The sequence below is a fragment of the Homo sapiens genome, chromosome 17, assembly GCF_000001405.40.
Source record: "Homo sapiens chromosome 17, GRCh38.p14 Primary Assembly".
Classification (NCBI taxonomy): Eukaryota; Metazoa; Chordata; class Mammalia; order Primates; family Hominidae; genus Homo; species Homo sapiens.
The window spans coordinates 1593115-1618056 of record NC_000017.11 but is presented as its reverse complement, the minus strand read 5'-3'; the positions used below and the strand labels follow the sequence as shown (position 1 = coordinate 1618056).

The 24942-nt window shown below is 52.2% G+C and overlaps 1 protein-coding gene, 1 non-coding gene and 1 pseudogene across 9 annotated transcripts in view, besides 2 other annotated features; all 3 read left to right on the top strand.

Moving 5' to 3' along the window:
* SLC43A2 (solute carrier family 43 member 2) overlaps positions 1–24942 on the top strand; it is a 60835-nt gene that overhangs the window by 12032 nt on the left and 23861 nt on the right. For 5 of the 8 annotated variants that reach the window (NM_152346.3, NM_001321364.2, NM_001321365.2 and 2 more), the window contains exons 3-6: positions 1288–1495; positions 3023–3078; positions 4786–4862; positions 24778–24870. In NM_152346.3, coding sequence (NP_689559.1) covers positions 1288–1495; positions 3023–3078; positions 4786–4862; positions 24778–24870 — 434 coding nt within the window. Of the gene's footprint in view, positions 1–1287; positions 1496–3022; positions 3079–4785; positions 4863–13022; positions 13318–24777; positions 24871–24942 lie in introns of those variants that run through there. The other 3 variants (XM_017024179.3, XM_047435331.1, NM_001284499.1) reach the window with 2 other exon arrangements.
* On the top strand, positions 1762–1865 carry LOC124904121 (small nucleolar RNA U13). Its single transcript, XR_007065999.1, has one exon. It is a non-coding gene; the product is annotated as a small nucleolar RNA U13 (small nucleolar RNA).
* Positions 10749–11514: an enhancer, noted in NCBI's record as "H3K4me1 hESC enhancer chr17:1509837-1510602 (GRCh37/hg19 assembly coordinates)". NCBI's record gives its function as "activates a minimal SCP1, AML or CMV promoter by ChIP-STARR-seq in naive H9 embryonic stem cells {active_cell/tissue: H9 hESC(naive)}" and the evidence as "EXISTENCE:reporter gene assay evidence [ECO:0000049][PMID:30033119]".
* On the top strand, positions 13385–13683 carry RN7SL105P (RNA, 7SL, cytoplasmic 105, pseudogene; annotated as a pseudogene).
* Positions 23921–24422: an enhancer, noted in NCBI's record as "H3K4me1 hESC enhancer chr17:1496929-1497430 (GRCh37/hg19 assembly coordinates)". NCBI's record gives its function as "activates a minimal SCP1, AML or CMV promoter by ChIP-STARR-seq in naive H9 embryonic stem cells {active_cell/tissue: H9 hESC(naive)}" and the evidence as "EXISTENCE:reporter gene assay evidence [ECO:0000049][PMID:30033119]".

Genomic DNA, 24942 nt, shown 5'->3' with positions numbered 1-24942 from the left:
GCTGCAATTGGAAGGCAGGCAGTTACCGGAAGAAGAGCGTTTCCTTGACTCTCCCAGCGTGACCTCATGTCTAATCAAAGTCGGCTCCTGTTTTCTGCAGGATTAGTCAGCATCTCTTAACTAGCAGTCCCGGCCAGGAGAGCTCCTCAGCCACGTTCCCAGCCCGTCCTCCACCCTCCCATCTTCAGCTGCCACAGCACTTTTCTCTTCCTTTCTGTGTTGTTTTGGTGCTGGGTGGACTTTGAAGGGGGCCATTAAGGGCTGGGTGTGGCAAACACACCAGACTCAGCACCCAGCGAGGTCTAGGCATGGCCACGGGATGGCACCACTGTGACCCCGGCAAGGAAAATAAGAAAGGTGCATATCGGCTGGGTGTGGCGGCTCACGCCTGTGATCCCAGCACTTTGGGAGGCAGAGGTGAGAGGATCACCTGAGGTCAGGAGTTCGAGACCAGCCTGGGCAACATGATGAAACCCCATCTTTACTAAAAATACAAACACTAGCCGGGCGCGGTGGCAGGTGCCTGTAATCCCAGCTACTCGGGAGGCTGAGGCAGGAGAATTGCTTGAACCCGGGAGGCGGAGGTTGCAGTGAGCCGAGATCGTGCTACTGCACTCCAGCCTGGGCAACAGAGTGAGACTCCGCCTCAAAAAAAAAAAGAAAAAGAAAATATCAGGGGGAGAAGGTGGCATCTGTTCTATGTTTGAGAAGGCAGCTGGACTTCCCATTGAAGGAGGCGCCGCAGTCTCCCCACATGGACAGAGGAGAACCAGGCTATTGGGGTGAGACCAGTGCTTGTGCTTCCCAAGTGGTCTGGGTTCTGCCTCCATACTGGCTGCAGTCTGTCCCCACGGACATAGCTGCCGTGAGAAGGTTCTCACCAGCCTGGGGCCCCACAGCCAAGGCTGGGCCCTGAGGTCTGCCGTTCTAGGGTGGCGGATGCTCTCGAATGGGACTCTCAGCCTGGGCTTCGTTGCTCTTCAAGGGACACACAAAGCTCCTGAAACTGTGGATAAACCTTGGTGTGCATTTTCTGGGGAGGTCTTTATTGGATTTTTCAAAGGGTCCATGGCCCCCACAAAAGTTAAGAACCTCTACATTTTCACTCCAGGGGACTTGGGCCAAATGGCCATCCAAGCCTGCTGCGGGGTAGCCTGAGCCCTCGAGAGGCCGCCAGCCAGCCCTGGCATTCCCAGTGGGGGGACTCTGAATGGGCACCTGCCCTTCTGATCTTTGGGAATCCCTGTCATGACCCTGAGGTCAGGGTTTCCTTCCCTCTTCACACAGAGAATGTCACCAATGGCACAGTGGGCGGCACAGCAGAGCCGGGGCACGAGGAGGTGAGCTGGATGAACGGCTGGCTCAGCTGCCAGGCCCAGGACGAGATGCTAAATTTGGCCTTCACTGTGGGCTCCTTTCTGCTCAGTGCCATCACCCTGCCCCTGGGTATCGTCATGGACAAGTATGGCCCGAGGAAGCTCAGGCTGCTGGGCAGGTCAGTGTGGGTCCCTTAGGGGGCAGGGAGTGGGCAGGTGGACCCCCTGGGCTGAGTTCCCCACAGAAGGGTATCCTGGTCGTACCTGATATCAGGTGTACTGTGGAGCTCCCTGAAGGCCCTCCAGAATGGAGTTCCTACCCCGTCCGCCACCGAATCAGCAGGTACTGTGGTCCTCGCCGTGCTCCAGTACCGAATAAGAAAAGCTCCAGGCTCCAGGCCGCCCAGGGACCGGAGCTGCTTGTCACTAAGAACATGTGTTTCCCATCCCTTTGTAGTTCATAAGCATGATAATTGGGGTTTCCCTCGCATGTGTGAGACATGCTTCCCTCAAACCTTGTTACGAAGCTGGCACAGTATCCATCTGATGAGAAAAAAAACCAACAACACTGGTTTCCACAGCCCGTTTGACCTTATAGCTCCACCAGAAAAAAGATTTTCAACACGTACCCCCAATATAATAAGCACATGGAATTATAAATGATGTATATCTGTGCTCTTTTTTTTTTTTTTTTTTTCAAGACGGAGTCTTGCTGTGTCGCCCAGGCTGGAGTGCAGTGGCGTGATCTCGGCTCACGGCAACCTCTGCCTCCCCAGTTCAAGCAATTCTCCTGTCTCACCCTCCCGAGTAGCTGGGATTACAGGCGCCTGCCACCACACCCAGCTAATTTTTATATTTTTCATATTTATTTATTTATTTATTTATTTATTTATTTATTGAGATGGAGTCTCCCTCTGTCGCCCAGGCTAGAGTGCAGCGGCGCGATCTCGGCTCACTGCGAGCTCCGCCTCCCGGGTTCACGCTATTCTCCTGCCTCAGCCTCCCGAGTAGCTGGGACCACAGGCGCCTGCCACCACGCCCGGCTAATTTTTTGTATTTTTAGTAGAGACGGGGTTTCACTGTGTTAGCCAGGATGGTCTCGATCTCCTGACCTTGTGATCTGCCCGCCTCGGCCTCCCAAAGTGCTGGGATTACAGGCGTGAGCCATCGTGCCTGGCCCCTATGCCATTCTTTTTTTTTTTTTTTTCCTTTTGAGTTGGAGTTTTGCTGTTGTTGCCCAAGCAACTGGAGCTGGAGTGCAGTGGCTCCCGGCCCCCTATGCCATTCTTAATGTGCTTTATAATACATATACAAAAATATAAATGAAAATGGGCTGGGCACGGTGGCTTACACTGGTAATCCCAGCTTTTTGGGAGGCAGAGTTGGGTGGGTCACCTGAGGCCAGGAGTTCGAGACCAGCCTGGCCAACATGGTGAAACCCTGTCTCCACTAAAAATAAAAAAATTAGCCACGCGTGGTGGTGGGCGCCTGTAATATCCCAGCTACTTGGGAGGCTGAGGCAGGAGAAATGCTTGAACCTGGGAGGCGGAGGTTGCAGTGAGCCGAGATCGCGCCACTGCACTCCAGCCCGGGTGACAGAGCAAGGCTCTGTCTCAAGAAAAACCAAAAACCAAAAACAAAAACAAAACAATAACACTGAATAAAGTCATAATGGTAAATAACATTGCGTTTCTGCTTGGTTTTAGCGCCTGCTTCGCGGTTTCCTGCTTGCTGATTGCGTACGGAGCAAGTAAACCAAACGGTGAGTGTCCTCTCCCTCCATCTTCTGTCAGGGACCGGGGAGAGAGTGCCCTGAGCTGCTCCCAGGCCCACCTGCTCTTGGACACTGTCCTGGGCCTGCTGCTCCCTGCTCAAGTTAGAGGGGACACCTGTTACGCCTCTACTCAGTTACTTATCTCAAATAGACGGCGAGATCAGAGAGCAGCCACCCCAGACAGGAGCTTCCAGGGTATGAGCAACTTCCATCTCATCACCAAACCAAGCCAGTCCCTCACTGATGCCAACCTGAGAGGCAAGTTCTAAGAACCAGGCCGGCTGCAGGGGCATGGTCATCGGTGTGTGCAGAAGTCACAAGCTGAGTCCCCTCCAGGCAGCACAGGCCAAAGCATGAAGGATGGCTTAGAAGCCACCTGGTCCCCAACCCTGTTCAAGGATTTGTAGAGCAAACACCAAAAGAGGACTCGAGTTTCACCAAAATCTTAGCCAGGCTCATCTACTGATTTTCAGGAACCTGTATTTTTGGTTTCTTAGGCCTCCTGCTCGCTGCTGTTTGTTTTTTTGTTGTTGTTGTTTTGTTTTGTTTTGTTTTAGAGACAGGGTCTCTCTCTGTCACCCTGGCTGGAGTGCAGTGGTGCAGTCACAGCTTACTGCACCCTGGACCTCCCAGGCTCAAGCGATCGTCCCACTTCAGCCTCCAGAGTAGCTGGGACTACAGGCACGCACACACACAGCTAGCTAATTTTTTTGTTGTTGTTGTTGAGACAGAGTCTCCCTCTGTCGCCCGGGCTGGAGTGCAATGGCGCAATCTCAGCTCACTGCAACCTCCACCTCCCGGGTTCACGCCATTCTCCTGCCTCAGCCTCCTGTGTAGTTGGGACCACGGGCACCCGCCACCACGCCTGGCTAATTTTTTGTATTTTTATTAGAGATGGGGTTTCACTGTGTTAACCAGGATGGTCTTGATCTCCTGACCTCGTGATCCACCTGCCTCAGCCTCCCAAAGTGCTGGGATTACAGGCGTGAGCCACCGCGCCTGGCTTCACCTGGCTAATTTTTAACTTTTTTTTAGAAATGGGGTCTCACTTTGTTGCCCAGGCTGGTCTTGAACCCCTGGGCTCAAGCAATTCTCCTGCTTCAGCCTCCCAAAGTGTTGGGATTCTAGGTGTGAGTCACTGCGCCTGGACACTGCTAATATTAATTGGAGAAAAGAAGATGGGTGTGCAGCTTTTTCAAGAGCCCACGCTTTGTGAAATAGGCAAGAGGAGGCTGGGCATGGTGGCTTATGCCTGTAATCTTAGCGCTTTGGGAGGCTGAGATCGGCAGATCACCCGAGGCCAGGAGTTCGAGACCAGCCTGGCCAACATGGCAAGACATACAAAAATTAGCCGGGTGTGGTGGCGCATGCCTGTAATCCCGGCTACTTGGGAGGCTGAGGCAGGAGGATCACTTGAACCCGGGAGTCAGAGGTTGCAGTGAGCCAGGATCGTGCCATTGCACTCCAGCCTGGGTGACAAGAGCAAAACTACGTCTCGATTAAAAAAGAAAAAGAAATAGGCCTAGAGGAGGGGGTGAGAAAGGGGCAGTTCCACTCCCCAGATGTCAGGTACTAACCCCGGCCTGCGTTTACTGGATTTACTGGGAGCCTGCACCGCGCAGGACTCTGGGCTGGTCCCGGCTTCCCTGGAGCTCAGCTGGGGTCTCCACTCACGAGCTTTCCATGTCCCTGCAGCTCTCTCCGTGCTCATCTTCATCGCCCTGGCTCTGAATGGCTTTGGTGGGATGTGTATGACCTTCACCTCATTAACAGTGAGTACAGATTTTTTAAAGCTCTGTAGTTCAGTAATCTGTTTCTAAATTTGAGGCCGCTTTGATTGGTTTCTGTTTCCTTGCCTTCCATGTGCCTGCATGTGCCTGGGTGTCCCAAACAGTAGAGGGGCTATGGGCGAGGTGGCCTGGCAGGGCCTCCTCAGCTGAGGTCCACAGGCAGCAGGGCGTGGCTTCACAATCCCTTGCCTTTTTTTTTTTTTTTGAGACGGAGTCTTGCTCTGTCGCCCAGGCTGGAGTGCAGTGGGGGGATCTCGGCTCACTGCAACCTCCGCGTCCCAGGTTCAAGCGATTCTCCTGCCTCAGCCTCCCGAGTAGCTGGGACTATGGGCGTGCGCCACCACACCCGGCTAATTTTTGTATTTTTAGTACACATGGGGTTTCGCCATGTTGGTCAGGCTGGTCTCAAACTCCTGACCTCAGGTGATCCACCCGCCTTGGCCTCCCAAAGCGCTGGGGTGACAGGCGTGAGCCACCTGGCCTGGCCGACATTCCCTGCCTTCTGATCTGGGCTTTGATGCTGCGGAAGCAGCTCACTAGCCTTGTGCCCAAGGAAGGCAGAGGCAGGAAGACAAAACGCTGCCGCCCACTTTCTTTTCCTGTTTTCCTCGGCAGCTGTCATCAGGGTCTCCGGGAGCTTCGGCTCATGGAGCAGCCTGACCACCCGCCTCCCGTGGAACTGCCTCAACCTTTGCCTTTGTCCGGAGCCAGATGGAAAATGCAGGGAACATCTGGTCTTCTGCTCCTCTTGTTTCCTCCGTGCCCGGGCACAGACAGTCGCCTGGGGGAGATGTTTTCTCGGGGTACTAAGCACCCCCTTGTTGGGAGCCCCAGGACATCACAAAATATGCTCCTTCTTGATGTCAGGGAGGCAGAAGGAAGGTGGGGTTGAAAGAAAGAAAGTCAAAAAAGGGGCTGGGCATGGTGGCTCACACCTGAAATCCCAGCACTTTGGGAGACTGAGGCAGGCGGATCACTTGAGGTCAGGAGTTTGAGACCAGCCTGGCCAACATGGTGAAACCCCGTCTCTACTAAAAAATACAAAAATTAGCCGGGCGGGTGGTGCATGCCTGTAATCCCAGCTACTCGGAGGCTGAGGCGGGAGAATTGCTGGAACCTGGGAGGCGGAGGTTGCCGTGAGCCAAGATCAAGCCACTGCACTCCAGCCTGGGCGACAGAGCCAGACTCTGTCTCAAAAACAACAACAAAAAAGAAAGTCAAAAGAGGAACCAAAAAGTCTCTCCCAGAGGGAAGAAGGGAACTCTGTGGGCTCGCCCAGTTGGGCAATTGTGCCATTCCGAGCTGGCCATTGGGAAAGAAGTGAGAATAATAGCTTCTTCAGAGAGGCTTCTGTCCATCAAGGAAACCTCGCCTGCATCAGTTTACCGGTGAAAAAGTTTCTAAGACACAGTACCTACCATTACTATTTGTGGTACACTCTGGTTTCTGATTTCCCTTGTCGTGCCATTGAAGGGTTCTTGTTTAGCTTTGAGGGAGCTCTGGGGGCTTCTGGACCTCTTCTTTTTTCCTTTTTCTTTTTTTTTTTTTTGAGTCTGCTCGGTTGCCCAGGCTGGAGTGCAGTGACGCAATCTTGGCTCACTGCAACCTCCGCCTCCCGGGTTCAGGCAATTCTCCTACCTCAGCCTCCCGAGTAGTTGGGACTATAGGCGTGCACCATCACGCCTCGCTAATTTTTGTATTTTTAGTAGAGACGGGGTTTCACCATGTTGGCCAGGCTGGTCTCATACCCCTGATCTCAGGCAATCTGCCCGCCTCAGCCTCCCAAAGTGCTGGGATGACAGGCGTGAGCCACGGCGCTCGGCCGAAAACCAGCAGCTCTTTCATCAGCATGAAAACTAAAAACCTGGCCTCACCTCCATTATTTTAGTCACGCGACGCCTCTGTCACGGCAGGCCTGAATTTCAGGGATAAAGGAACGAGATGGTCCTTGAGCTTGAGGACCTCACACCCCGAAATGCCGAGAGGTGTTTTGTCTGAAAAACGACCAAGAATCCCTGTTAAGAAAGACTTTAGGCCGGGTGCGGTGGCTCACACCTGTAATCCCAGCACTCCGGGAGGCCGATGGGGGTGGTGGATCATGAGGTCAGGAGTTCGAGACCAGCCTGGCCCAAGATAGTGAAACCCCGTCTCTACTAAAATATACAAAAATTAGCTGGGCACAGTGGTGGGTCCCTGGAATCCCAGCTACTTGGGAGGCTGAGGCAGGAGAATCGCTTGAGGCCGGGAGGCGGAGTTTGCAGTGAGCCGAGATCGCGCCACTGAACTCCAGCCTGGGTGACAAGATCAAGACTCCCCCTCAAAAAAAAAAAAAGGAAAAAAAGAAAGACTTTAAAAGGGACCCTGCGGTTGGAGCTAATAGGCCAGTAAGAATTCTTTGTCTTTTTTTATGTTTTATAATTATAAAACAAAATTTTTTTCATTACATTTTTTATTTTCATTTTTTACAGATGGGGTCTTACTATGTTGACCAGGCTGGTCTCAAACTCCTGGGCTCAACAGATCCTCCCACCTTGACCTCCCAAAGTGCTGGGATTCCAGGTGTGAGCCACCATACCTGGCCCAAAAATGATTTTATTTTAAAAATTCAGGTTGGGAGCAGTTGCTCACACCTGTAATCCCAGCACTTTGGGAGGCTAAGGTGGGAGGATCATTTGAGGCCAGGGTTGAGACCAGCCTGGGCAACATAGCGAGACACCTTGTCTCTCCAATTTTTTTTTTTTTTTAATTAGCCAGGGCATGGTGGCAGTTGCTTGTAGTCCCAGCTCCTCGGGAGGCTGAGGTGGGAGGAAGGCTTGAGCCCAGAAGTTCCAGGCCACAGTATGCCACAATGACACCACTATATTCCAGCCTGTGTGACAGAGCGAGACCTTGTCCCAAAAATAAAAGTAAAAATTTAACATTTCAGAAATATGAATTGTAGACTAAACTTCTATGAGCCTGCCAGGCGCAGTGGCTCACACCTGTAATCCCAGCACTTTGGGAGGCTGAGAAGGTTCCCATCACCTGAGGTCAGGAGTTCGAGACCAGCCTGGCCAACATGGTGAAATGAAACCCCATCTCTACTAAAAATACAAAAATATTACTCGGGCATGGTGGCACACGCCTGTAATCCCAGCTACTTGGGAGACTGAGGCAGGAGAATCGCTTGAACCTGGGTGGCGGAGGTTGCAGTGAGCCGAGACCGCGGCATTGCATTCCAGCCTGGGCAACAAGAGCGAAACTCCGTTTAAAAAAAAAAAATTCTATCAGCCTGTCTTCATCAGTTTGGAATATATTTCTTCAGTATTTAAAAGATCTGCATGTACCAGTGTTATTCTTTTTTTTTTTCTTAAAAAAAAAAGAACTGTGATAACTTGCCTTTTCCCTTAATGTATCTTTTACATCCTTTCCTGTCAGTACTTAGAGATCTGCCTTATTATTAAGCAGTTCTGTATATTATTCTTTAATATAGATGGACCATCATTTATTCAACCTGTTTCCAACTAATGGACTTTTGGCTTGGTTCCCAATTTTTCCAATTTATGAATGCTGCTGAAGTGAGCATCCCTGTACATGTATTTCTGTAAAATAAGTTCCTGGCAGCCCTGGGCCACAGGATTAGCATGTTTTAAAATTTAATATGTACTGTTAAATAGTCTTCTAAAAATGTTATCTGGCCGGGCGCAGTGGCTCACGCCTGTAATCCCAGCACTTTGGGAGGCTGAGGCGGGCAGATCACCTGAGGTCAGGAGTTCGAGACCAGCCTGACCAGTATGGTGAAACCCCGTCTCTACTAAAAATACAAAAATTAGCTGGGCTTGGTGGAGGGCGCCTGTAATCCCAGCTACTTGGGAGGCTGAGGCAGGAGAATCGCTTGAACCCGGGAGGCAGAGGTTGCAGCGAGTCGAGATTGCGCCACTGCACTCCGGCCTGGGCGACGAGTGAAATTCTGTCTCAAAAAAAAGCCTGCCTGCCACCACAGGCCCACCAGCACGTACACGAGTGTCTTTTCCTCCATGTCCCTTCCAGTGCCATGTCATTCCTCTTTAAAACATAGCCACTCTGATCCTATGAAAAACGACATGCCATTTTTAAAATTTATTTCATTATTAGTGAGACAGAGCATTTTTTCTCCTCTTTATTGGTAAATTGCATTTCTTCTGTGAATTGCTTCTTTGTGTCATTTGTCTATTTTTCTACAGTGCTCTTGATTTTATTATTATTAGTATTTAGTGACTCGTAAGAGCTCTTTCAAATACAAAGACACTAGTGTTCTTTCCGAGTGAGCAGGAGATCTTACCCTGGGGTTTTCAGGTCTCTACATGGTCCATGAGTAAGCTTCAGGAGAGCCGTGCACACCCTTGAAATTCCATGCCAACAAAGCGTGTGTAGGTGCTGCTCAGCTGTGTCTTTCTGGAGGGGAGGGTCCATTACTTTCACTGGCCTCTGGCAGGTCTGTGTGAAGGCTAAAAACCACTGCGGTGGCCGGGTGCGGTGGCTCACACCTGTAATCCCAGCACTTTGGGAGGCCAAGGTGGGTGGATCACCTGAGGCCAGGAGTTCAAGACCAGCCTGGCCAACATGATGAAACCCAATCTGTACTAAACATGCAAAAATTAGCCTGGGATGGTGGCATGTTCCTGTAATTCCAGCTACTCGGGAGGCTGAGGTGGGAGAATTGCTTGAACCCGGGAGGCGGAGGTTGCAGTGAGCTGAGATCGCACCACTGCACTCCAGCCTGGGTGGCAGAGTGAGACTCCGTCTTAAAAAAAAAAACAAAACACACAAACCACTGTGGCAGGAGCGTTTCTATTCACTCTTTGCTCTCCCACTGGAGGCAAAAAGCTACACAGGCTAGAGAGTGACCAGGCAAGAGAGTCACCTGATCACCATTTGAAGCGTTTGGCTACCAGAGGTCTGTCTAAGGGAGGCTGTTGGTTTGTTCTTCAAGGTTTTCATTTTTTGATCTAGAGCAGGAGTCAGCAAACCGCCATTGCCAGGCCAAATCCAGACCACTGCCTGTTTTTGTAAACAAAACTTCATGGGGTAGAGCTGTGCCTGTTTGCTCCTGTCTGTGGCTGCTTTTGTGGTATCTCATCAGAGTCAACGCAGTCGTGACAGAGGCCATATGGCTTGTAAAGCCCAAAAGGTCTACTGTCTTAGCCAGGCACACTAGCTCACGCCTGTAACCCCAGCACTTTGGGAGGCTGAGGCGGGTGGATCACCTGAGCTCATGAGTTTGAGAGCAGGCTGGCCAACATGGTGAAACCCCGTCTCTACTAAAAATGCAAAAATTAGCCAGATGTGGTGGTGGGCGCCTGTAGTCCCCACGACTCAGGAGGCTGAGGCAGGAGAATTGCTTGAACCCGGGAGGCAGAGGTTGCAGTGAGCTGAGATTGTGCCACTGCACTCCAGCATGGGTGACAGAGCGAGACTCTGACTCAAAAAAAAAAAAGTCTATTGTCTGGCCCTTTATGGAAAAAGTTTGCCAACCCTTGGTCCAGAGGCCCCAGGAAGCTGCTACGTCACTGTTCCTCGTCTGAGGGCATGTGCTGACACCCACCATTCACACCCACACCCTCTGGTTGCATGGGCCAGCTCTCCTTCTAAGTCATCTCTTTCTGCCTCCCCCCAGGGTGGAGGGAGTTCCATGGGCATTCCCCTGCCCCCTGAGGCCTCTGATGAGGGCTCCAGTGCCTGCTCCTTGAGAACAGACCCCAAAAGGGAAATGAGGTCAGTGAGGACAGGGCTGAAGCAGTTAAGCAACACTCTTGGGCTGACTGGGGCTTCTGCTGAGCAGAGCCGAATCTCATTCTGATACAACCCAGGACTTCAGAAAGCAGAACTGTCGGGATCAGCTCCCAGAGACGCCAAGCTCAGGGCACAATGGCACTTTCTGTTTGTGTCTCCCACCCGTGTTCTAATTTGGGGGACAAAGGAGTCTCCAGGGTCGCCTTTAGGAATTTCTAACTCCAATCTTCAACAACCATGTTGGGGCTGTGGATAATAGCTCTGTGATAACCCAGGACTCTAGGGGACGGCGCTGTGGAAGCCTTAATTCGGGGACTTCCTGGGTCCCGGGGCCTTTGTGCTGCATGGGCTGTGGTCTAAATACAGATGACCAGGGGCTGCGAGCTGTTACCCCCACTGGTAGGAGAGGGGGCTCCAAGCGGGCACACGCCTTTTCCTTGTAGTCCAGAAGGAGATGGCCATGAGCCATCCTTCCAGAGCCCAAGAGGTCGGCACCCATGGTGGTATTTCCCTCCCAAGTGGAGGCTCCGAGGGGCAAGGGTGGCTGTCGCGTCAGGTAGGCTGCCCAGTAGCCAGTGCTGGCTCTCCCAGGGCCCTGCAGCACAGGGCCTGGGCCATCGCGTGCCATCCGTGGAGGGCGGACGCCAGGTCACTCCATGGGGGCAGAGCACTCCCCACGGTGTGGATCCTCAGCCTCCCCCGGGACATCTGGACGGCACGCTCAGTGTTTGTTCAGTGCCTCGCGTTTGTACAGCCCTTTGCACTCGCTTCATCGGCTGGAGCACAAACACGGCCGGCGGCTGAGGCCGCATCTTGGGGTCGCCACCCTCCAACCCGGAGCCTGGGTTGCTTAGAGATGGGAGCAGCTGTAGCCAAAATTGTGAACCTGCCATTTCCACTCCATTACTCTGACCCCTGTCCCCGTGGGTGGGATGGGGATTTCTCAGCAGAAGCCACACAGAAAAGCGGGTTTCAAAATGTTGCCAGGCTCCCCGATGAGACATTTCTCTGTGGATTTTCCCTTTTGATTCCTTCAAGTCTGACTTTAAACCTGAGGAAGGCATGATTTCATGGGAGGTGGGATCTGAGGGAAGTGAAGAGGATAAACATCCCTCTTCAGATCCTGGAGAGGAGGGCAGGATGGCAGATGCCCCCAGAGAGGGGACAGGAGTTTAGTGCCGTGGCTCAGTAGACCCCGCGTCTGCAGCCAGGAGAGGGTCCCACGGTGGCCCCCGGCCAGCTCTGGAGGGTCCAGGAGAGGGTCCCGCGGTGGCCCCCGGCCAGCTCTGGAGGGTCTAGGTGCCTGGTGAGCGGGACTTGCCAGTGCCCAGTGCCTGCTGTGCCTCCCCACCTTCCTCTCTTTCTGTCCTGTACCTTGGGGAAGCTCAGGCAGTCAGCTACTTGCCATTGGTTTGGGGAGAATTTGCCATCTGAGGGTTCTGCCTCATGAATTTGCTGCAGTATGTGACCACGTTCAGACGGAAAGGGCAGCGGTATTGGCAGGACTGGACCCGGCCGGGAAGGCACAGGAGGTGGCCGGGGGAGGGGAGCACACCCTTCCCCTCCCTTCAGCACTGAAGCAGAAAGGTGACCACAAGGACCTTGTCCCGGGCAGCATGTGCTTGGAGGTGCCCGGTTGTTGTGGGTAGGAAACAGCCCAGCCTGGCAGAGTCTACCTGTGCAGTCTGGTTCCGGGATCCCGGCCTGTGCAGGTTGTACAGAACTCTGGGTGTGTACTCCAGCCACTTGGGGACAAGGCTCCCTCTGGAGGGGACCCGAGGGCCAGAATGCCAGCCCCCACCCACCACCCAGCTCCCCAGCCCCCACCCACCTCCCAGCTCCGCAGCCCCCACCCACCACCCAGCTCCCCAGCCTCCTGCAGGCCAGGGAGGACTCGGGAGTCCGTGGATGTGGAAAGTCAGGGCCGGGGGTGCCACGGTTGCCCCTTGTTTCTGCCTGCCAGCAATGCCATGGCCTGCCCTGGGCCAAAAGGCACGTACGTCCGGCATCTTAGAGAAGCTCCCGCGCCCGCACTGTCCCAGGGCCTTGGCCCTGCAGGCACTCCTGTCCGGTGGTCATGCTCTATGGCCAGAATGCCAGGGGAGGGGCCGCCTGCAGCTGCTGTTTTCCCCTCTGGGAAGGTCACACAGTCCGGCCTGTTTATGCTGCAGCCAGGGGGCTGAAAGAGAGAGAGTCACGGGCTTCCCTGTGTGACTGAGGCTGCGTGGAGGCAGTGAGTGAACAGCCCGGGCTGGCAGGACAGGTTGACCCGCACGGAGGCAGAGGCGGCGAGGGGGCTGTGGGAAGCACCTGAGGGCGGGAAGAGGGGCTTGCACTCCCACCTGTGAGTGTGGTGGTGAGTCAGGAAACAGCTCCGGCTTCCTGCTTGGCAGCAAAGCTGGTCCTTCCCCTCCTGGGGTCCTTCCCCTCCGCCAGCCCTCGAGGCCCGCGCTAGGGCGCTCTGCTCAGCGCTCAGCCCTCACTCCGGCACCGCGGCTTCGAACAGCCATTATGCGCAGCTGAGACCGGTGGAGGCAGGGAAGCTGGGGACGGAGTGAGCGAGAGGGGGAATGTGGGGAGTGACCCAGATGTCAGGATGACCTACGGGAGTCCACAGGCAAATGCAAGCCCATCCGATGCTGTGGCGCTGGACCATGGGGAGGTCAGCCGAAGGCAACAGCAGGAGGTGAGGGCAGGGGGCAGATGGGTCTAAAAGGAGCTTCAGAAGGAATGTAAGCCATCTCTAGTTGGGGACTGGGCATTGTGGTATCCCCCTGTAGTCTCAGCTGCTCAGGAGGCTGAGGTGGGCAGATGAGTTGAGCCCAGGAGTTCTGCACAATAGCGTGCTGTGTTGATGAGATGTCTACACTAAGTTCAGCATCAGTGTGGTGACCTCCGGGGGGTGAGGGACCCCCAGGTTGCCTAAGGAGGGCTGAACCGGCCCAGGTCAGAAACAGAGCAGGTCAAAAGTGTCCTGCTGATCAGTAGAGGGATCATGCCTGTGAATAGCCACTGCGCTCCAGCCTGGGCAATACAGCATGACCTCATCTCCAAAAACAAATTTAAAAAAATGACCGGGCGCGGTGGCTCACGCCTGTCATCCCAGCACTTTGGGAGGCCGAGGCGGATGGATCACCTGAAGTCAGGAGTTCGAGACCAGCCTGGCCAACATGGCGAAACTCCATCTCTACTCAAAATACAAAAAAAAAATTAGCTGGGCATCGTGGCGTAGTGGCACATGCCTGTAATCCCAGCTACTCGGGAGGCTGAGGCAGGAGAATCGCTTGAACCAGGGAGGTGGAGCTTGAAGTGAGCTGAGATTGTGCTGCTGCACTGTAGCCTTGGCGACAGAGTGAGGCTCTGTCTCAAAAAATAAATAAGTAAATGAATGAAAAATAAACCTCTAGTTGAAGGGCGCAGATTGGATCTTAATAAGGCACATGTAAAAGCCGTGGGATCCAAACTGAAGTGTGTATTGGCCGGAGCCACAGGAGACTCCAGAGAGGCAGCGTGGCCTGGGGCCTACACACAGAGGCTTGGCCTGGCTTGAATCCCCAATCTGACCATTACTAGCTTGGGGGAGTCCCTTGACTTTTCTAATCTTTAAGTTTTTGTTTTGTTTTGTTTTGTTTTGTTTTTTGAGGCAGAGTTTCACTCTTGTTGCCCAGACTGGAGTGCAATGGCGCGATCTCAACTCACTGCCACCTCTGCCTCCTGGGTTCAAGCGATTCTCCTGCCTCAGCCTGCCGAGTAGCTGGGATTACAGGTGCACGCCACCACGCCTGGCTAATTTTTTGTATTTTTAGTAGAGATGGGGTTTCACCGTATTGGCCAGGCTGGTCTCGAACTCCTGACCTCAGGTGATCCCCTGCCTCGGCCTCCCAAAGTGCTGGGATTACAGGTGTGAGCCACCGCGCCCGGCCTCATGGTGTTTTTTGACCAATAAAAGTTTTTAAATAGGTGGTCAAAAGTGTGTTTCAGCTTTTAGGGAGTACCTAGCATTTGTGTCAAATGAAACCTCTCTGAAGAGAACATGAAGGATGACCTTGACCAGTGAAACCCAAAGCATAAACATCCTGACAGCAGTCAATGTGTGGTCACAACAGAATAACAAGGACAGGAGAAGAAAGGCCATCTCTGTGGACACTAATTATTTATTTAAAGGGGAATACTAATTTGTGTTTTATCCTGTAGTCGGCTTCCTTTTCTTCCTCCCAGAGCTGTGGTTCCTGCCAGAGGACACTTCCCTCGTTGGCTATGCCCAGGAGCAGCTTGACCAGAAGATTTTCCCTGTTATGAAGTCATAACACATATCATAATAGTAACTATTGTTAATACCTACCCTATTTATGATCTTTAAAACCCTCGGCCGGGCGCAGTGGCTCACGCCTGTAATCCCAGCACTTTGGGAGGCTGAGGCGGGTGGATCACCTGAGGTCAGGAGTTCGAGACCAGCCTGGCCAACATGGTGAAACCCTGTCTCTACTAAAAATACAAAAATTAGCCGGGTGTGGTGGCGGGTGCCTGTAATCCCAGCTACTTGGGAGGCTGAGGCAGGAGAATCGCATGAACCCGGGAGGTGGAGGTTGCGGTGAGCCGAGATTGCACCATTGCACTCCAGCCTGGGCAATAAGAGCGAAACTCCATCTCAAAAAAAAAAAAAAAAACTGAAAAAACAAAACACCATGAATTAAGAAGTTAAATGACAAACTAGGAAAATTTATTCATAGTATATAGAACTGTGAATGTCTTCATTTTATTTTATTTTTATTAATTTTTGAGACAAGAGTCTCGCTCTGTCGCCCAGGCTGGAGTGCAGTGGCACAATCTCGGCTCATTGCAACCTCTGCCTCTGGGGTTCAAGCGATTTTTCTGCCTCAGCTTCCCAAGTAGCTAGGATTACAGGTGCCTGCCACCATGTCCGGCTAATTTTTGTATTTTTAGTAAAGACGAGGTTTCACTATGTTGGCCAGGCTGGTCTCAAACCCCTGACCTCAGGTGATCCGCTTGCCTCGGCCTCTGAAAGTGCTGGGATTACAGGTGTGAGCCACCGTGCCCGGCCTGTGAATGAATGTCTTTAATACATAAAGAGCCTTCACAAAATCAATATACAAAGATTGGCCGGGTGCAGTGGCTCATGCCTGTAATCATTGCAGTTTGGGAAGCCAAGGTGGAAGGATCGCTGGAATCCAGGAGTTCAAGACCAGCCTGGGCAATAGAGTGAGACCCTGTCTCTATAAAAATAATTAAAACAAAGCTGAAGGAGACCTTGCTATGCAGCCCCCTGCCGCTTGTGCACCCTTGTCGACCCACACGCACCTTCAGGAGGGCGGCGCACACCTGGGGTAGTCACAGTGCAGGACTCTGGCTCAATAGCGCCTTTGCATTGGTTTGGACCTTCGGGAGGGCGGTACACGTCTGGGGTAGTCTCAGTGCAGGACTCTGGCTCAATAGTGCCTTTGCATTGGTTGGGACCTTCGGGAAGGCAGTGCATGCCTGGGGTAGTCTCGGTGCAGAAGGACTCTGGCTCAGTAGCACCTTTGCATCAGTTTGGACCTTCGGGAGGGCGGTGCAGAAGGACTCTGGCTCAATAGTGGCTTTGCATCGGTTTGGACCTTCCGGAGGGTGGTACACGCCTGGGGTAGTCTCAGTGCAGGACTCTGGCTCAATAGCACCTTTGCATTGGTTTGGACCTTCGGGAGGGCAGTACATGTCTGGGGTAGTCTCAATGCAGGACTCTGGCTCAGTAGCGCCTTTGCATTGGTTTGGACCTTCGGGAGGGCGGTGCATGCCTGGGGTAGTCTCAGTGCACGACTCTGGCTCAGTAGCGCCTTTGCATCGTTTTGGACCTTTGGGAGGGCGGTGCATGCCTGGGGTAGTCTCGGTGCAGAAGGGCTCTGGCTCAGTAGCGCCTTTGCATCAGTTTGGCCTTGGCTCCCAGCACTGGTTGTTTCCAGCGGGGTTGTCGGCTGTGTGAAGCAGGCCGTGTGCCTCTCTGGCTGTGGGGCTCTGTTCGGTGGTGTAGCAGGCCTGAGTGCTTATTAGCCATCTCGGGATCCAGGGAACATTTGGGTTTTCCCAGCTACACCTGGAAACTTGGCGGGCATATGGGAATGAGATTCTACCACTCTGGAAGATTCATGCCCACAGGTTTCATTGCAGTTTGCTGATGGTCCGCAAGCCTGAAATTAGCGTGTGGAACAGACCCCTTTGGTAGCAGTCTAGTGCCAGCTCAGACCTACGAAGAATTAAAAATCTGCAAACTTCCACTATTTTCAATGTCTTAAGGGAAATAAATGCAGCATTTTTGCATTTCTGACATTTTACTTAAAACAAACAAACAAACAAACAAACAAACACCACCAAACTGGGAGGGGTGGAAAATCAGTCGCTACCACAACAACCCTATGGAGGCAGCAAATATGCAACGCGATTCTTGTATTCAGATGTTATCTTTTCTTTCGGTATCTCTAGGTAAAATCTCAAGGGTAAAATGTTAGTTGTCAACATTGAGGGTCCTGAAACCTGATTCCTCACTCAGAGGAACAGTGTGGAAAAAAAAAAAAAAGTCTGGGCGCAATGGTTCACGCCTGTCATCCCAACACTTTGAGAGGCTGAGGTGGGCAGATCGCTTGAGGTCAGGAGTTTGAGACCAGCCTGACCAACATGGTGAAACCCTGTCTCTACTAAAAATACAAAAATTACCTGGATGTCATAGCAGGTGGCTATAATCCATCCCAGCTGCTCGGGAGGCTGAGGCAGGAGAATCATTTGAACCTGGGAGGCAGAGGTTGCAGTGAGCCAGAATCGTACCATTGCACTCCAGCCTGGATGACAGAGCGAGACCATGTCTCCAAAAAAAAAAAAAAAAAAAAAGAGGAAAGAAAAAAAAATCTCTTATGAGATTTAGAATGTCTCTTCTTTTGCTCACCTTAGAGCACAGACCTACTTTGAAATTATGTTAAATGAAATATTGGAAGGGCGCGGTGGCTCATACCTGTAATCCCAGCATTTTGGGAGGCTGAGGCGGGCGGATCACTTGAGGTCAAGAGTTTGAGACCAGCCTGGCCAACATGGCTAAACCCCGTCTCTACTAAAAATACAAAAATTAGCCAGGCGTCGTGGCAGGCACCTGTAACCCTGGCTACTCGGGAGGCTGAGGCAGGAGAATTGCTTGGACCCGGGAGGTGGAGGTTGCAGTGAGCCGAGATAGCACTACTGCACTCCAGCCTGGGTGACAGAGCCAGACTCCGTCTCAAAAAAAAAAAAAAAATATATATATATATATATTCAATTAATATATAGCTTACTGTAAAAAAAAAAAAGAAAGATTAACATCCCCATAGAAAAAAAGGACAAATATAAATGATTTTTTTTTTTTTGAGACGGAGTCTTGCTCTGTCACCCAGGCTGGAGTGCAGTGGCGCAATCTCAGCTCACTGCAAGCTCTGCCTCCCAGGTTCACGCCATTCTCCCGTCTCAGCCTCCCGAGTAGCTGGGACTACAGGCGCCCGCCACCACGCCCAGCTAATTTTTTGTATTTTTAGTAGAGACGGGGTTTCACTGTGTTAGCGAGGATGGTCTCGATCTCCTGACCTCATGATCCACCCGCCTCAGCTTCCCAAAGTGCTGGGATTACAGGCGTGAGCCACCGCGCCTGGCCAAATAATTTTTTAAGTTGTAGAAAAATGTTGAAAGTCATTAGTAAAAGTTTTTTGTTTTTTTGAGACGGAGTCTAACTGTGTTGCCCAGGCTGGAGTGCAGTGGCTCAGTCTCTGCTCACTGCAACCTCTATCTCCCAAGTTCAAGCGATTCTGCTGCTTCAGCCTCCCAAGTAGCTGGGACTACAGGTGCCTGCCACCACGCCCAGCTAATTTTCTTTATTTTTGGTAGAGACAGGGTTTCACCATGTTGGCCAGGCTGGTCTTGAACTGCTGGCCTCAAGTGATCCACCTGCCTCAGCCTCCTAAAGTGCTGGGATTATAGATGTGAGCCACTGCGTCTGGCCTCAGGGTGATTTTTACCTTATTCTTTTTATACTTTGCTCCAAACATTTTGCAATGGATATGCTTTTCTTTTCTTTTTTTGAGACAGAGTCTCACTCTGTCGCCAGGCTGGAGTGCAGTGGCATGATCTTGGCTCATTGCAACCTCTGCCCCCTGGGTTCAAGCAATCCTCCTGCTTCAGCCTCCCAAGTACCTGGGACTACAGGTGCACGCCGCCACACCCGGCTAATTTTTGGTATTTTTAATAGAGATGGGGTTTCACCATGTTGGCCAGGATGGTCTCGATCTCGTGATCCGCCCACCTCAGCCTCCCAAAGTGTTGCGATTACAGGCGTGAGCCACCGCGCCCAGCCCAGGCATTGCCGTTCTAAGGAAAAGATCATAATTAAAAATACAAGATGTCAGTGTTGGTTTGAAGGCTACCTAGTGTGGTTCCCCTGAGGCACTCTACTCCCTAAGGAATGGCCCTGCTGACCAGAATAACATGTTGGGAAGAATTTTCTTGGTGCTGGTAAGAATGTTCCAGGCGGCAAGAGGCAGGGCATCAAAGGGAGCAGCTGGGAGGCCCCTGCCCTGTCCAGGCCTGAGGGCAAGGCCTCATCCATGGACAGATGGAGAGTCGGCCTCTTCCCCAGGTTCTGCTCTTCCCCATCCTGGATCTAGTGCTGGGGAGAAGACTCCAGAAGACCAGGCAGGGCCACATGGTCACCCCAGGGCCCTGTGGCTCTGTTGGTCTGTAGCCTAGGTTAGGGTTAAGGCAGGCAGGCTTGAGATTAAAAAGGTAGAAGGAAAATGCCTAGCTAGCAAGCTCTCTGCTTTTCCGGAACATTCTCTAGCTCTGTTGAAAAGTTTGAGACACTCTTTTTACCCAAAGGTGACTGCAGCAACCTACATGTTAGCCTCACCTGACCCTGCACCAAGGGAGCCAGGCTCTGGGCTTCCATTTGCCCTTCTGGTTGGGTTCCAAGCCTTCTCTGGGCCTCCCTTTTTTTTTTTTTTGAGACAGAGTCTCGTTCTGTCACCCAGGCTGGAGTGCAGTGGCATGATCTCGGCTCACTGCAACCTCTGCCTCCTGGATTCAAGCAATTCTGCCTCAGCCTCTTCCCCAGTAGCTGGGACTACAGGCACCCACCACCACGCCCAGCTAATTTTTGTATTTCTAGTAGAGACAAGGTTTCACTGTGTTGGCCAAGCTGGTCTCAAGCTCCTGACCTCATGGTCCACCTGCCTCGGCCTCCCAAAGCGTTGGGATTACAGGCGTGAGCCACCGCGCCTGGCCCCTTTCTTTCTTTCTTTCTTTGCGCCGGCTGTGCTGGCATGCCGGGCAGGAACACTTCCCTCCTTCCGCATAAGCAGAACAAATATTTGCATTCTCACTGGGGTAGATATGGCCACGGAGATGCCTTTGCTACAGTGCAGTAATGGAGCAGCCCAAATATGTGAGCTTGGGAACCGAGGCTTGTCCTTTGAACTGCAACCTACCTGGGAGGCAGGTACCCAGAGAGTAAGATTGCTCACCTGGGCGTGCCTGGGCACGTGTGAGCACATCACATTTCTTTTGTCTTCTGTTGGAAGGGATTTCTTTTCTTTTCTTTTTCTTTTTTCTTTTTTTTTTCTTTTTGAGACGGAGTCTCACTCTGTCGCCCAGGGTGGAGGGCAGTGGCGATATCTTGACTCACTGCAAGCTCTGCCTCCCAAGTTCAAGTGATTCTCCTGTCTCAGCCTCCTGAGTAGCTGGGATTACAGGTGCCCGCCATTATGCCCAGCTAATTTTTGCATTTTTGTAGAGATGGGGTTTCACCATTTTGGCCAGGCTGGTCTCGAACTCCTGACCTCAGGTGATCCGCCCACCTTGGCCTCCCAAAGTGCTGGGATTACAGGCGTGAGCCACCTCGCCCGGCCTCATTTCTTTTTTTTTTTTGAGTCTTGCTCTGTCGCCCAGGCTGGAGTGCAGTGGCACAATCTTGGCTCACTGCAACCTCCACCACCCGGGTTCAAGCAATTCTCCTGCCTCAGCCTCCCAAGTAGCTGGGATTACAGGTGCACGTCACCATGCCTGGCTAATTTTTGCATTTTTTTAGCAGGGACGGGGTTTCACCATGTTCGCCAGGCTGGTCTTGAACTCCTGATCTTGTGATCTGCCCACCTCGGCCTCCCAAAGTGCTGGGATTACAGGCGTGAGCCACCGTGCCCAGCCTCTTTTTTTTAAAACGTAGTCTTGCTCTGTTGCGCAGGCTGGAGTGCAGTGGCACGATCTCGGCTCACTGCAACCCCCGCCTGGGTTCAAGTGATTCTCCTGCCTCAGCCTCCCGAGTAGCTGGGATTACAGGCATGTTCCACCATACCTCGCTAAGTTTTTGTATTTTTGGTAGAGACGGGGTCTCACTATGTTCCCTAGGCTGGTCTGGAACTCCTGACCTCGTGATCCGCCCGCTTCGGCCTCCCAAAGTGCTGGGATGACAGGCGTGAGCCACCGCGCCTGGCCTCACTGTGACTTTTTGGTGTCCTAATGGGTATCAAGTGGTATCTCATTGTGGCTTTGATTTGAATTTCACTATGATTAATGATGTTGAGCATCTTTCCATATGCTTATTGGCCATTTGTATATCTTCTTTGGAGAAATGTCTATTCAGATCCTTTGCCCATTTAAAAAATTGGTTATTTCAAAAAATAGCTGGGCGTGGTGGCACATACCTGCAATGGGAGGTGCCGCTCGGGAGGCTGAGGTGGGAGAATGGCATGAACCCAGGAGACAGAGGTTGGAGTGGGCCGAGATCGCACCACTGCACTCCAGCCTGGGAGACAGAGCGAGACTCCATCTAAAAAAAAAAATTGGTTATTTATCTTTTTATTATTGAGATGTAGGGGTTCTTTATATGTTCTATTTTTTGTTTTTTGAATAACTGTTGGGCACTATGTTTATATATTCTAGATGCAAGCTCTTGATCTGTGATTTGTAAGAAGTTTCTCCCATTCTGTGCATTCTTTTCACTTTCTTGAACTCCTGCCCTCAAGTAATCCCGCTGCCCCAGCCTTCCAAAGTGCTGGGATGACAGGCACGAGCCACCACTCCCAGCCTGTTTTCACTTTCTTTTTTTTTTGAGATGGAGTCTCGCACTCTTGCCCAGGCTAGAGTGCAGTGGATCAATGTCAGCTCACTGCAACCTCCATCTCCCGGTTCAAGGGATTCTCCTGTCTCAGCCTCCCGAGTAGCTGGGATTACAGGCGTCCACCACCACGCCCGGCTAATTTTTTGTATTTTTAGTAGAGATAGGGTTTCCCCATGTTGGCCAGGCTGGTGTTGAACTGCTGACCTCGTGATCTGCCTGCCTCGGCCTCCCAAAGTGCGGGGATGACAGGTGTGAGCCACCGCGCCCGGCTCTCTTTTCACTTTCTTGATGCCATCCTTTGAAGCACAGAGGTTTTAAATTTTGCTGACATCCCTTACTCATTTTTAAAAGTGGGCAAAACAGGCAGCAGTGACTGCAGACAGGTATGTCGCCAAGTTCAAACTCCCTCCGCTCAGTAACAGTTAATTTGCTTGCAGGCAGGCAGGTTTGATAAAACAAAAATTATTTATTTTGGGAGGCCAAGGTGGGAGAAGAGCTTGAGGCCAGGAGTTCAAGTCTAGCCTGGGCAATATAGTGAGACCCCATCTCTACAAAAATAATTAAAGGCCGGGCGTGATGGCTGATGCCTGTAATCCCAGCACTTTGGGAGGCCAAGATAGATGGATCGCTTGAGGTCAGGAGTTCAAGACCAGCCTGGCAGCATGGTGAAACCCTATCTCTACTAACAATACAAAAATTAGCCGGGCATGGTGGTGCACACCTGTGGTCCCAGCCACACAGGACGCTGAGGCAGGAGACTCGCTTGAACTTGGGAGGTGGAGGTTGCAGAGAGCCAAGATTGCATGTCAGTGCATTCCAGCCTGGGTGACAGAGCGATACCCTGCCTCCAAAAAAAAAACCACTAGCTGGGGCATGGTGGCGTGGGCCTGTTGTCCCAGTGACTTGGGAGCTGGGGGGGGAAGATCACTTGAGCCAAGTTGGAGGCTGCAGTGAGCTATGATTGCATTACTGCACTCCCACCTGGGCAACAGAATGAGACCCTGTCTCTCTCTCTCTTTTTTTTTTTTTGACACAGAGTCTCGCTCTGTCACCCAGGCTGGAGTGCAGTGGCGCAGTGTCGGCTCACTGCAAGCTCCGCCTCCCGGGTTCAAGCCATTTTCCTGCCTCAGCCTCCCAAGTAGCTGGGATTATAGGCGCCTGCCACCACATCCGGCTAATTTTTGTATTTTTAGTAGAGACAGGGTTTCGCCATGTTTGCCAGGCTGATCTCGAATTCCTGACCTCAGGTGATCTGCCCCCCTTGTCTCTCTCTCTTTTTTTTAACTTTAAAAAGATACAGAGGCAGGGTTTCGCCATGTTGTCCAGGCTGGTCTTAAACTCTGAGGTCAAAGGCAGCACTCTGGGATTGCAGGCGTGAGCCACTGCGTCCAGCAGATCCTGTCTCTTAAAACAAGAAAAAAAGGTTGGGCGCGGTGGCTCACGCCTGTAATCCCAGCACTTTGGGAGGCCAAGGCGGGCGGATCACGAGGTCAGGAGATCCAGACCATCCTGGCTAACGTGGTGAAACCCCGTCTCTACTGAAAATACAAAAAAATTAGCCGGGTGTGGTGGCGGGCGCCTATAGTCCCAGCTACACGGGAGGCTGAGGCAGGAGAATGGCGTGAACCTGGGAGGCGGAGCTTGCAGTGAGCCGAGATAGAGCCACTGCAGTACAGCCTGGGCGAAAGAGCGAGACTCCGTCTCAAAAAAAAAAAAAAAGAAAGAAAGAAAGAAAAAGATTCAAGACAAATGGGGAGTGGTGGGGAGGGTGGAGGGGACATAGATTAAGTCCCCATAAGCAGCCTGAATTTAATGAAATAGGTTGGCATGGCTATCCAGAGGGCAGCCCCCAAGGCCAGGGACGCTGGGTGTGGACAGGAAAGGTTTGCTACACACAGTGTGATGTCTCTTGAGGTTAGAGAACCTGTGCCTCTTTGGGAGGATGTAGTTTGCCCTAGGCCTGGATTTCGGTAGAATGAGCAAGAGTTAGCCTTGAAGTCCTGTTCAGGTGGGCCCCCTCTTGCCCTGTACCCAGAATGAGCTGATGTGAGATGCCGAGAGTGGCTTCGTTGGGAAGAGAGCCCGGACCTTGCTTCCCGTTGGCCTTCCAGGATGCTAACTGCTCGGGCCGAACATCCTGTGGGAAGATAATCCCCTGCTTGTACTGAGAAATTCAGAAGCAGGAGGCCGGGCGCGGTGGCTCACGCCTGTAGTCCCAGCACTTTGGGAGGCCGAGGCGGGCGGATCACTTGAGATCAGCCTGGCCAACATGGTGAAACCCCGTCTCTACTAAAAATACAAAAATTAGCCAGGCATGGTGGCGGGCATCTCTAATCTCGCGACTTGGGAGGCTGAGGCAGGAGAATCACTTGAACCAGGGAGGCGGAGGTTGCAACGAGCCGAGCTCACACCACTGCGCTCCAGCCTGGGGAACAAGAGCAAAACCCCATCTCAAAACAAAGAAAAGAAATTCAGAAGCAGGAATCCTGGGCCAGCTTCATCCTCAGACCGAAGAGAACTGTAGAATTCTGATTGACATCTTCCAAAAACCTACCCTCTCCAAACCAAAAGCAGTTTTTGCTGACATCTGGTCTTTCTGGAATGCTGATATTTTTATTTATAAAATGATGCTATTATCCCCAAATAGATTCTTATTTTTAACAGGCTTTCTCCCTTTGAGGGCTGCCTGAGGCTCATAACTTTGTTCTCTGGCATCTCAGTGTTACCCTGAAAAGACAAGAAGGCTCCTGGGCTCTGCCAGGAGCAGAGAGATAGGGAGGGTTGCCAGCCGGAAAGTCAGACAACTGCTTGTATTCTGCATTACCTCCCTCCTTGGCCCCATCAGCCTCAGTCCATGAAGGAGAAACCTTCAGTGAGCGGTCATTGCCCCTGAACTAATGCCCCTGTGAGTCACACAGGAAGGGGCGCAGGTGAAGAAGGGGCCTCATGGGGCCTAGTTCTCTGTCCCCTCCTCCTCCCCTTCCCTGGTGCATCCTCCCCACTGAGGTTTCTCTGCTTCTTATCTCTCAGCTGCCCAACATGTTCGGCGACCTTCGGTCCACGTTTATTGCCTTGATGATTGGGTCCTACGCCTCCTCGGCAGTCACCTTTCCAGGAATCAAGGTGAGCACGTGTATTTTGCACTGGTGTCTGTGCAGAGGCCTGCTCCAGGCTCCTTCCACCCTCTCTGAAGAG